Source organism: Homo sapiens, chromosome 9 (genome assembly GCF_000001405.40).
Source record: "Homo sapiens chromosome 9, GRCh38.p14 Primary Assembly".
Taxonomy (NCBI): domain Eukaryota; kingdom Metazoa; phylum Chordata; class Mammalia; order Primates; family Hominidae; genus Homo; species Homo sapiens.
In genome coordinates, this window is record NC_000009.12 from 625,114 (window position 1) to 638,170 (window position 13,057).

Genomic DNA, 13,057 nt, shown 5'->3' on the forward strand with positions numbered 1-13,057 from the left:
AAACCCACAGCCCGCAGATCTCTTATTTGGCAGCGAATTCCTGCAGATCAGCTCTAAGAGCCAGATTTCCTCATGGAGGAAAAGACTGCTACTGTCACGGGAAAGATTTGTTTAAACATATTTTTTAGTACAGTTTTATAAGTCCTTATCAAGTAGGGCCAGCCCCCAGATAAAAACCGTTAAGTATTTATCTGTAAGCCAGAGGTTGAGAATAGGAAACATTTGAATCTTTAAGAACTTGAGTCCAACAAAAATACTGGCTAACAGCCTGACTGAGGTGAAATAAACCTTGTTTCCAGTTTTCCAGAAAAATTGTTTATTACTGGGCAAATCTTGGGCCTCCAAGATTGCCTATATTTTTGTTTTTCTTTTCTCTTAATCTACAGGAAACTTCTGGGTTGGGCCTTCTCATAGTTATCCGTTGTTAAAAGTTCTATATTTCTACAAACCTTCTTGTGCGAGGAGTATCTGGAAAAAAAAAACAACATTGAGATCACTCTTTAAAAATTAGTGTTTTAGACAGGTTTCTGGTTTTCTCTGCTTTGTTAACTGAAACAGCCCCCATAGAAACATTCTGAAAGACTTAATCAAACAAGTATTCAGAATAAAATGAATGGGAAGAAGTTTTGAGTCTCCTTGATCAAACATGGACCTGTGCTTTAAAAAGCTGAGCCCCTGAGTTTGTTGCACTGTGTACTTAAAGTCTGTGACAGTTTAGCCTCTTTCTAGGCTGCCCATATCTCTCACCACTCGGTTCATTTCCCGGTTTTAACCACTCCCCACGGTCCCCAGATGATCATTTTCATCCTGAGCCTCTTATTCCCACCTTCAGTCACTTCAGAAACTCCCCTGCACTCCATTCAACTTTCTGGACCTCCCCTTTAATGTTTGCCATTTGTGCATTCTACAGCTCGGTGCACTTGTTTTCTGACCTCAAGAGTCAGGAGAGGAGCTATCCCAGCTTCAATTCCTCATCAATAAGGTACAGAAAATACTCTCTAGGATTACTGAAGAAATGAAATAAGCAACTGTATTTTAAGTATTTTATGTACTGTAAAAGCATTGTGCGTCCGGGTGCAGTGGTTCATGCCTGTAATCCCAGCACTTTAGGAGGCCGAGGCAGGCAGATCATCTGAGGTCGGGAGTGACTGGCCAACATGGTGAAACCCCATTTCTACTAAAAATAAAAAAGTTAGCCAGGCGTGGTGGTACATGCCTGTAGTCCCAGCTACTCGGAAGGCTGAGGCGGGAGAATTGCTTGAATTCAGGAGGCAGAGGTTGCAGTGAGCCGGGTGACAGAGCGAGACTCCATCTCAAAAAGGAAACAAAAAAAAGCTGTGCCAATAAAATTATACTTATTATTCTAGATACAAATATTCTGAATGCTCCTTTAGTCAGATTCTGTGTTTTCTGTTTTGTTTTTGTAATTTTCACTTAGGAGGAGGCTGTACATAAATCAAGCCCTTAGTAAATCCTTATTTAGTGAATAAATAAATACTGCCAACATCTGGCCCCAGCCCTATTTGGCCTCAAATTTCTGAGGGCTGGTTACCACTATTGCTGAAAATAGAAAAGGAGAAACAAAAAACAAAACCCACCAATTCAGGACAGAATATATTTGTGCTTAAACAAGCACACAGTACTCTCACATCCACCCTCGGTCTCCCTGAAACTCAGACCTGCAAAACTAGGATACAAGCTGTAATGACATGATGCTTTCACAATAGCAGATTGAAGTTAGACTCCAGAAGACAGCTTTACAGTGTGTTAAACCAGATAGAAGACAGGCGGCTGCTATTGGTGTTTTACACTGGTGTACATCGGTGCTTCTCAGTCTCTTCACATTCTAACTCATTCCTTTTGGTGTTCTGTGTAGCTATTTTGGTCTTTATTTCATATTTATTTGATTTGCTCTTTTCTTGTACCCTTTATTCCAAGGGGGAAAAAAAGGTGGGGGTTGGACAACAGAGAATGAACAGCACAGAATTCCTTTCCTTAAATACTGCCATCCTGGGAAATCTAGAATCATGAAATGTAAGATACAGATTGTGCCCTAGATCCTCCTGTCCTACTCTTCATTTTATGGACAAGTCCATCCAGAAACCTGTGATGGATGAGGGCAGAGCCTGGAAGAACCCCAGTCTCCATTCCCTCCTCCTTCTCCCTAAACCACAAAGCCTGATTTGAGTACCCAGGGCTACCCAGGTTGGAAATAGAAGTCCTCATCTTCTGCCCAGGATTTCTCACTCCTAGCCACAGAGCTTCTGCCCCCTCCTAGCCACAGAGCTTCTGCCCCCTCCCACTGGAAGCATTGTGCCCAGGAGAGGACCTTTTTCTCTTATCTCTGCTGGTAAGCTTGATTATCAGGATATTCCTGGGGACCTAGAATTTAATCTCTTCTCCAAAGCTGCTCTTTGATGGTGTTGAGGGTGTTTTTGCCAGTAATGAACAATCTTCTTGTTTTGAAGCTGCCTTTTATCTTGTTTAATACATTGTAAAGTTGTCTTCTGGAGTCTTCTTCAGTCTGCTATTTTGAAAGCATCATGTCATTCCAGCTCGTATCTTGGTTTTGCAGGTATGAGTTTCAGGGGGACCAGAGGGTGGATGGGAGAGTGCTGTGTGCTTGTTTAATTAAGCACAAGTATATCCTGTCTTGGATTGGTGGGTTTTGTTCTTGTTTTTCCCTTTCTATTTTCAGCAATAGTGATAACCAGCCCTCAGGAATTTTAGGCCAAATAGGGCTAGGGCCAGATGCTGGCAGTATTTATATATTCACTAAATAAAAATTTACTAAGGGCTTGATTTATATACAGCCCCCGCTAAGTGAAAATTACAACAAAAAAAAAAGAAAAACACAGAATCTGACTAAAGGAGCATTCAGAATATTTGTATCTAGAATAACAAGTATAATTTTATTGGCACAATGCTTTTACAGTATATAAAACACTTAAAATACAGTTGCTTATTTCATTTCCTCAGTAATCCTAGAGAGTATTTCCTGCATCTTATTGATGAGGAATTGAAGCTGGGATAGCTTCTCTCCTGACTCTTGAAGTCCGAAAACAAGTGGACGGAGCTGTAGCACTAAGCCTCAGCCTGCTCGTCTTCAACCTGCTCCTGGCTGCAGAGTCTTGATTGACTCTGCCTGTCTCCAGTGTGCTTTCATTCCCTTCAGTGGGTAACTTGTCAGACCTCATCTTGTTTTTGAGACTTTGGTTTCTGTCTTGCCTTCTTCCTAACTTTGGTATTCTTAGTTCCAAATCCTGAATAACTCCTGTAATGGGCCTCCCAGTAGGGGGGGTTCCTGTATTTATATTCACAGATGTACGTATTTTAATAGTTAACATCTGAAATCAGTATACATCTTAAAGTTGCCATGGAAGTTCATTTCTTCAGTGTCTGCCTCTGCTCGTCACTTGAGGTGCTGGTAAACTAAGACCAAAGTTTAGATTCCCTGCTTGAGGGCACTTGAACCACAGTGGTGGTGAGTTCAGAATGCAAATGAGAGTAACTACTGACTTAGGATTCAAATCTTCAGGGGAGATTCCTCCCCTCTCTGCCCAGTTCCCAGGTTGAAACATCCAAGGCTCTTTGCCATCCCTTTCTGCATGGCGGGTTTCTTTGTGGCCATTTGGTTCCCTGGATTCAAGTGGTCCCTGATACCTGTTCAGTTTACCATCTTGGGCCGGGCATGGTGGCTCACTCCTGTAATCCTAGCATTTTGGGAGGTCAAAGTGCGCAGATCACTTGAGGCCAGGAGTTCAAAACCAGCCTGGCCAACATGGCGAAACCCCATCTCTACTAAAAATACAAAAAATTAGCTGGGCATGGTGATGGGCGCCTGTAATCCCAGCTACTCAGGAGGCTGAGGCAGGAGAATCACTTGAACCCAGGAGGTGAGGTTGCAGTGAGCCAAGATCATGCCACCGCACTCCAGCCTGGGCAACAGGGCACAACTGTTTCCAAAAAAAAAAAAAAAAATCCCATCTTGCATGCTTTTCCTTTCTCTGTAGTATGTAAAATAATGTATGTTTGTGATCAGTGAGATCTCAGATCTGATAAAATGCAGTGTTTTGTCATGAGAGTTGCTCCCAGCCGCTGATGGGGTTGCCTTGTTCAGCACTTTTTAGCACCAGGGGAGTAAGCCATGTTCTTGCTCCCCCTCCCTCAGGCTGAGGCTTTGCTTGATCACCTGCTAAGACAAAAACCAGAGTGGGTCACGAGTCACTCTCTCTCTTCCCCCAGCCACAGTGGCAGCTGCCTAACTTGGTTTCTTGCTGGTGCACACATGTGACAGAAATACAATGTTAATAAATATTTCTACGTGTAATGGAGAAACAAGCCATAAAAGTAGCTGTTTGCCATCTGCTCAGATACATTATTAGGAAAGGCAATGACATTTTATGATTCAGTAACTTAACTATTCTCCTGCCTTCTGTAAAGGCCCATCACATATAAATAAATTATAAACATCCAAACACATCCTGAGAGAAGTGCATTGGTCTCTGAAGCAGAAACAAATGATACCTGATTCTCCCTTCTCCCAGAGGAGATCTCAAACAACTCAGTTACAGTGCCTCACAGTTGTAACCTATAGTACAAACGTGTTGGAGATATAACACCTTGTATACGTATGTAGAGAGAATTGGCATAACAAAGTAGAGAGGAGAATTAGACGAATGGGCACCCCAATCAGTGATTCAGGGAGAGGACCATATTTTAAACAGCAGGCAATGACTCATTTACTGAGTGTTTTCTGTGTGTCAGGCACTGTACTACGCACTTTGTTCATCTATAAGTGGAAGAATGCTTGTTTTTCAAGAACAAAGGGAATAATAAGAATAAAAGTGAAGGCCAGGCGCACTGGCTCACGCCTGTAATCCCAGCACTTTGGGAGGCTGAGAAAGGCCGATCACTTAAGGCCAGGAGTTCAAGACCACCCTGGCCAACATGGCAAAACGCTGTCTCCACTAGAAAATACAAAAATTAGCAGACGTGGTGGCATGTGCCTATAGTCCCAGCTACTCAGGAGGCATAGGTGGGAGGACTGCTTGAGGCTGGGAGTTCGAGGCTGCAGTGAGCTGAGGTTGCACCACTGCATTCCAGCCTGGGCAACAGAGCGAGACTCTGTCTTAAAAAAAAGAAAAAAAACGAGTTGGGGGGCAGGCACGGTGGCTCACGCCTGTAATCCCAGCACTTTGGAGGCTGAGGCGGATCATGAGGTTAAGAGATGGAGACCATCCTGGCTAACATGGTGAAACCCCATCTCTACTAAAAGTTCAAAAAAATTAGCCAGGCATGGTGGCGGGCGCCTGTAGTCCCAGCTACTCGGGAGGCTGAGGCGGGAGAATGGCGTAAACCCGGGAGGCGGAGCTTGCAGTGAGCTGAGATCCCGCCACTGCACTGCAGCCTGGGCGACAGAGCGAGACTCAGAAGGATAAAAAGTAATAACCTGAAGAGTAGCTTCGTTTCAGGTGGAAGGTGAGAGAGGCTGCAGAAAGCTTAGGGCTGGGCGCGGTGGCTCATGCCTGTAATCCCAGCACTTTGGGAGGCCAAGGCGGTCAGATCACCTGAGGTCAGGAGTTTGAGACCAGCCTGGCCAACATGGTAAAACCCTGTGTCTACTAAAAATACAAAAATTTAGCCAGGTGTGGTGGCAGGCGCCTGTAATCCCAGCTCCTTGGGAGGCTGAGGCACGAGAATCACTTGAACCCGGGATGTAGAGGAGCTCCTTGGGAGGCTGAGGCACGAGAATCACTTGAACCCGGGATGTAGAGGTTGTAATGAGCCGAGATCATGCCGCCACACCCTAGCCTGGGTGACAGAGCAAGACTCTGTCTCAAAAAACAAAACAAAACAAAAAGTGCTTAGTCAATATCTGGTTGTTGATTGTTTAAGGAAAAGGCCAAGTGAGGGTATGACTGGTTGGTAGAAATATGTATCTTGGTATAAGCAGTTCTAGGAGTGATATGTGTCTTTTGCTGCTGTTATTGTTGTTTCTGTTCAGCGTTAATACGTTTTGCATTGTACCACAAATATTTCCTTACTCCTTTGCCTTTGAGACAAAGGGCATGAGTTTATAAGTTGAGTTGAAAATAGATTAAATATATAGTACAGCCTATGCCCAGCAAGCAGAATTATCTATGCAAGTTATGCAGCCCACACGGAAAAAGAAATGCTGTGCGGCCTCATTAGCACCCCAGGATTTGTGGGGCTCCCCCTGGGCAGCCTTAACCAGGAAAATTTCATAGTCTCCTTGGCATTCCATCCAAGATTTAAGACTTCTCCTTTCATCTCCTTGAGGACCATCAACTATACCCTTGAGCTCAGCCATCCCACGCACTGAGGCTTATCTGTACTTCCAGCCCAGACCTCCCTCCTAATTCCCCACTATACCTGTGCACTGAAACACCCTCTTAGGATCTCCTTCTTCCACATTCCTCCTCCTCTAGGCAAGGCAAGTCGTTTTCCTCATCTCAGCCAGAGCAGTAGTTACTGAAAACTAACCCAATATGGTGGCTTCTGAGCTCAGGTGTCTTTCAGTGACTCCTGCTGCTTCCAAAATAAAGTCCAACTGTTTAGCTTGGCATGCAAAACCTGTAGTCATCCATCCCTTGCATATTTAACTCCTCACACACCCCATTCTGTGGTCTCTTCTTCCCTTTGCATCTGCTCTGGGTGCTCTTTGAAGACTGTACTTCCTCCCCTTTGGGGCCAATTTAGTCATCTTTAAGCCTCATTTCAGGGGTGGTGTCCTCAGATAACCCTTCTTCACATACCAGTTTGGGTTATCTACCGCTGTGGCTCTATAGCTCTCAGCTCACACCAATAGGATAAGTATTTAACATACTGTTAAATTACAGTATGCCATGATAACTTCTCTTCCATCATTCTGTATTGCATGAGTACAAAGACTGTGTCATTAATCCCTGTCTCCGTAGCATTGTGTCTAGCCTTTAACAGTCACTTAATAAAGGCAATGAAAAGGAAATAACATTTGACCTTCAATTTAAGTTTGACTAGGTATGGTCAAACGTTAGAAAGTGGCAGTGAACTTCTTTTGAAGTCAGAATTCATATTTTCCTTTAACATCAGATATTGGCAGCCAGCTTTTCCAGATTTTCTTGGCCAAAAATATTACTAAAATTGCATGCCCCTAGATTTTGATATCTAGGATGATACATCTACAGCATGTAATTATTTGTCTCAATAATTGAGCTTTACCTTAGGGCTCTAAGAGAAGAGGTTAAAGGAATCAGTGGTTTAGTAATTGTATTGTTAATCTTAAAATGAAAGTTGAATGGAAAATATTTTAAAAACTGGTTAAGAAGATAATTATTGAGAGCATGGAAAAGATAATTACTACATATACTGTAACTGGTGAAGATGGAGGTTTTATGAAAAATAAAGCAGCTTGTAATTTTTTACAACTTCTTTCAAATGCACCTTGGACTGCCAAGGTGAGAGGCAGGGGAGGACATTTTCATTCCGTGGAGTCACACTGAGGATTTATCTTGTAATTGATTATCACATTATCTGCTTTGATCCTCATGAGATAATGAGAGTGGTGTTTTGTTTTGTTTTGTTTTTCTTTGAGATGGAGTCTCTCTCTGTTGCCCAGGCTGTAGTGCAGTGGTGAGATCTCGGCTCACTGCAGCCTACACCTCCTGGGTTCAGGTGATTCTCCTGCCTCTGCCATTCGAGTAGCTGGGTTTACAGGCATGCGCCACCGCACCCGGCTAATTTTTTTTTGTAGTCTTAGTAGACACGGGGTTTCGCCATGTTTGCCAGGCTGGTCTGGAACTCCTGACCTCAGGTGATCCACCTGCCTCAGCCTCCCAAAGTGCTGGGATTACAGGCGTGAGCCACTGCTCCCAGCCTGAGAGTGAGTGTTTTAGCAAAGCAAAACGGCAGAGGTAACATGGCCCCCTCCCTCCACATCTTATGAGGTTTCCTACCATTTTCTGTCCAATCGTGACTTTTTCTACACTCACTTTTAGTGCCCCATAAGAAGGATATTTAATGAAACCTTTTATGGACTATTGATAAGAACCCAACCCTTGACCGGGCGCAGTGGCTCACGCCTGCAATCCCAGCACTTTGAGAGCCGAGGCGGGCAGATCAGAAGGTCAGGAGATCGAGACCATCCCGGCTAACACGGTGAAATCGCATCTCTACTAAAAATACAAAAAAAATTAGCCGGGCGTGGTGGCGGGCGCCTGTAGTCCCAGCTACTTGGGAGGCTGAGGCAGGAGAATGGCGTGAACCCGGGAGGCGGAGGTTGCAGTGAGCCGTGATCGCGCCCCTGCACTCCAGCCTGGGTGACAGAGCGAGACTCCGTCTCAAAAACAAAACAAAACAAAAAAAACACCTTTTTTTGTCTTGCCATTCAAGTTACTTCCAACAGTGCTACCCCTTCTCCCAAGACTCTTAATGTAGTCTGTCTGTCCATAGCATTGTATCCAGATTCCTGAACCTGGCATATGAGCTCTCAATAATTCATTCTGACTCATCTTTCCAGGCTTACTGTTTAAATATGTTTTATTTATTAATGTTTGAGACAGGGTCTCGCTTTGTCACCCAGGCTAGTGTGCAGTGGCATGTTCATAGCTCATTGCAGCCCTGAACTCCTAGACTCAAAGGGTGTTCCTGCCTTAGCCTCCCAAGTAGCTGAGATTACAAGCACATGCCACCACACCTGGCTAAGTTTTTATTTTTAGTAGGGACAGGGTCTCCTTATGTTGCCCAGGCTGGGCCCAACTCCTAGCTTCAAGTGATCCTCTGGCCTCAGCCTCCCACAGTGCTGGGATTATAGGCATGAGCCACTGCACTGAGCCATAAATAGATGCAAGTCAAAATCCAAGAAAACCTTGAAACAAATTGCCTTACATGGTAAGAAAGGTTTATCTTTTTCATAAGTTCAGAAATGAACTTCTGGGGTTAATTAATTTGTAATTGCCCAATTGCACACACAAAGCCAATTCACTGAGACTGTGATATTGCAGTAAAGAAAGAGTTTAATGAATGCTAGGCCAGCAATGTGGAAAATGGAGTTATTATTCAAATCAATCTCCCCAAAGGCTCAGAGAGTTAGGGCTCTTCAAGGATAGTTTGGTGAGCGGAGGACTTAGGGAATGGGTGCTGCTGATTGGTTGAGGATGAAATCATAGGGATGTGCAAAATGGTCTAATCCTGTGCCACCTCACCTGCACTGAGTCCATCTCTGGACTTCCTTGGTTGAGTTATGAGTCCTGGCTCCCGGTGGGGTCACTCGGTTGCCTGAATGCAAAAGTCTGACAAGCATCTCAAAAGACTAATCTTAGGTTCTATAGTAGTGATGTTATCTATAGGAGCAATTGGGGAAGTCACAAACCTTGCAACCTCTGGCCACCTGACTTCTGAGCAGTAAGAGATTATAGAAAGTATGCTTACATGTTAGCAGAATTCAGGCCCCTCCCATTATTCTAGTCTTGTGGCCTTTATTAGTCTTACAAAGGCAGTTTCAGCACCTGAACAAGGAAGGGAATGAGTTTCAGGGAGGGACTGTTATCATCCTTGTTTCAAAGTTAAATTACAAACTAAATTTCTCCCGTGGTTATCTTAGCCCATGCCCAGGAATGAACCAGCCTGTGAGGCCAGAAGCAAGATGGAGTTGAACCATGCTAGATTTCTCTCAATGTCATCATTTTTGCAAAAGGACTTTCAGATTTAGTGGCCCACTGATATCATTAGGGGCCCAGGTTCTTATTGTCACTTCACTCTGCCATCCACTATGCACTGGTACATCCTGAGACTTGCTCTGCCTCTTGGCAAAATGGCTACAGAAGTGCCAGGCATCACATCTAGACAGGGCATCTTGTGGCTCTTGTAGGAGTAAGGAAACATTTCCAGACGCACCCTAGAGAACATCTTACATTTCACTGACCAAAAATGAGTCACATGGTCCTTTACAAACCAATCACAGGTAAAGGGAATGCCGTTATTATGGTAACCAGCATGGGGGAACAGGTGGAGAGTCAACCACCAGGACTACAGGGCTTCCTTTTCTCCCTTTGTATGTCCCTCTTCCATCCTGACCTCATGGTGACCCTAAAAAGTCTGTGCCTGCCTACCACCAAACCTGCTCTCTGCCCCTCTAGATTTTAGGTACCCAGCCCCCCAGGCCTATACCCGAGTTCGCTTTGCTCCATGGAACTTTCCTTGCGCACTCCCTGTTCTACCCCTTTGCCACCTGTGTGAAGGTCATATCTCTCTAGCTGGACCCTGAGGTCCTTTGGGGCATGCCTGCGCTGCTCTCTATTCCTTCATGTGCTTCGTAGAGAACCACAGACCCTGACTTTATTTGTGCAAACCTTTTCCCCAAAATGCTAAGACTAATACCACGCACAGATGGAAGTACTCTTACATCCTAGTCATATCAGCCCCTTGAGACTGGAGCTAGTCTTCAAAATGGAATAATAGTGTTCCCTTTTTATTATTAGAATAGTAAGAATTCTATATGAGTAGAATAAGAAAAAGTTAATGTGGCATTCACAATTTATTAATGTCCCTTCATCCATTTACCCACATTCCTTTTTATTCTTTTTTTTTTTTTTTTTTTTTTGAGACGGAGTCTTACTCTGTTGCCCAGGCTGGAGTGCAGTGGCACGATCTCAGCTCACTGCAACCTCTGCTTCCCGGGTTCAGGTGATTCTCCTGTCTCAGCCTCCCGAGTAGCTGGCGGTACAGGTGCACACCACTTTAGTAGAGACAGGTTTCACTTTATTGGTCAGACTGGTCTTGAACTCCTGGCCTCAGGTGATCCACCTGCATCAGCCTCCCAAAGTGCTGGGATTACAGGTGTGAGCCACCGTGCCTGGCTTTATTCCTTCTTAATGAGGCACAAACTCAGTTTCTGCGTGGTACATATAGCCTTTAGATTTTCATAGTTTTACTGTTTTTCTGATATTCTCAGACAAATAAATGGTTGTACATCAGAATTATTGGAGGAGCTTTCAAACAATATGCCTATCCAAGTATCAATTAAAGATTCAGTTTCAGTTGGCCTGGGTTAGGGCCTAGGGTGTTTTTGTAAAAGTTCTCAGGGATTCTAGTGGCGGCCAGGTTGAGAGCTCTGCTCTTAGATCTTTATATGCAGAACTCTCCTGGCTGAGAATTATCAGAATAATTTCAAACTTTTCAGAGCTCTTATCCAGACTGCTGCCATATATTACTGCTTCTCATATTAGCACTGCTGATCATGCAGGGTATGTCCTGGTTTCTTTTGTGTTTGATGGCTAAATATCCACCTTCCCTTTTATCTTTTTCCTGCCTGGATTGTAAACATCTCATTTCTCTTCTGTTCCACAGCATTCAGGACAATATTAAAGAGATCATGGAGGCTCAGTCAGTTCCCATCAACAGAGTCCGAAACGTTGTCCACTTCATAACTTGCTGGGCATTCTGTCCTGTACACCTTTAAACAACCTTCCTGGCTGGGTGCGGTGGCTCACACCTGTAATCCCAACACTTTGGGAGGCCAAGGCAGGCGGATCACGAGGTCAGGAGTTCGAGACCAGTCTGGCCAACATAATGAAACCCCATATCTACTAAAAATACAAAAAATTAGCCAGATATGGTGGTGTGTGCTTGTAATCCCAGCTACTCAGGAGGCTGAGGCAGGAGAATCGCATGAACCCGGGAGGTGGAGGTTGCAGTGAGCCGAGATTGCCATTGGACTCCAGCCAGGCGACAGCGCGAGACTCCGTCTCAAAATAAAAACATAAACAAAACAGAAACCCTTCCTTTAGGCCCAGAGAGCCAACCTTTCCCTCAGAGACTGTTTTTAAACCAAGCCACTTTAGACTTTGCCAGTCCTTCTGTAGTCCCCTATTCAAAACTTTGTTTATACCTTTCAGGAATATTTTATCTAGTACTTTATTGATTTCATCCAGTTATGTGCCCCTTCTCTCCATTTTTTGACAGTTTCTACTTTATTCCACTCCTCCAACAACTCCTTAATTTCTGCTGTATCAGCAGAGCCTCTCCTAGGTAATTGGAAGAGTTGTCCTTCTCTCAACCCTATTCTTTCTCAAGTTTGCTATTCCCAGGTCTTCTGTTGCCTTCAAACACTACCAAGTAGTCTCATTATCTATTCACAATAATGATGTGAAAGCTTTTGTTCCAGCATTTGTTGAATGTTCATTTTTTCTCTGGCCTTTCATCATCTGTGACAGTACTTTGTTTAGAAAATGGAGGGTAGGGTGGCACTTGTATAGCCCATTTTGTATGGTTCAACATTCATTTCATTGTGACTAATGATGACTGATAGCTGATGTCATAAGTAGTGTTTCTTGCAGCAAAGTTTCATAAATTTTAGCATGCATCACAATCACTTGGGGTACTTAACTCAAGTACGTATTGCTGGGACTTACCTTCAGGGATATCTAAGTCACCAAGTCTGGGGTGAAGCCTGAGAATTTGTATTTCTGTTAAGTTCCCAGATGATGCTAATGCTTTATCTGGGGACCACACTTGAGAACCACTGTCCTATGGGATCAAGAAATAAGCCAGGAACGAGTGTATATTTTTTCTAGTTAAATATTTAATGTTAAGATGTTTAGAATTTTTTTAGGGAGGTGCTTGTCAGATACTTTTCCTAATAGTGGGTACTCAGAGTATTTCATGTGAGACTACCAATGTCATATATTTTAAAAACTATTAGACTGGGACAGATGGGAAATTGCCTTCAGCATAAGAAAAGCCAATATTTTTCATAAGTCCCAAAAGCAGCTTTTGGGGTTGGTTGATTCAGTGGTTCAATGAAACCATCAGAGACTCTGGTTCCTACTCTTTATTCCACTGTGCCATGGACCATGTGCTGGTACATCTTCAGACTCACTCTGCATGGTGACAGAATGGCTGTAGAAGTGCCAGGCATCACATCCAGGTTACATACAGATGCACACTGTTTAATAGCCAAGCTTATGCAGTATCAGTAACTATTAGAGAAACTGAAATGGAGGATCCAGAACTTCTTATCAAATATAATCCTTAAGATACAAACAAAGCAGTCATT

General features: G+C 43.8%; 1 protein-coding gene across 39 annotated transcripts in view, besides 1 other annotated feature; it reads left to right on the forward strand.

Moving 5' to 3' along the window:
• The window catches only part of KANK1 (KN motif and ankyrin repeat domains 1), a 275,809-nt gene that overhangs the window by 154,819 nt on the left and 107,933 nt on the right, over window positions 1-13,057 (forward strand). The window lies entirely within an intron of this gene.
• Window positions 703-903: a silencer, noted in NCBI's record as "peak7200 fragment used in MPRA reporter construct". NCBI's record gives its function as "represses an SCP1 promoter by STARR-seq MPRAs in K562 erythroleukemia cells {active_cell/tissue: K562}" and the evidence as "EXISTENCE:reporter gene assay evidence [ECO:0000049][PMID:32103011]".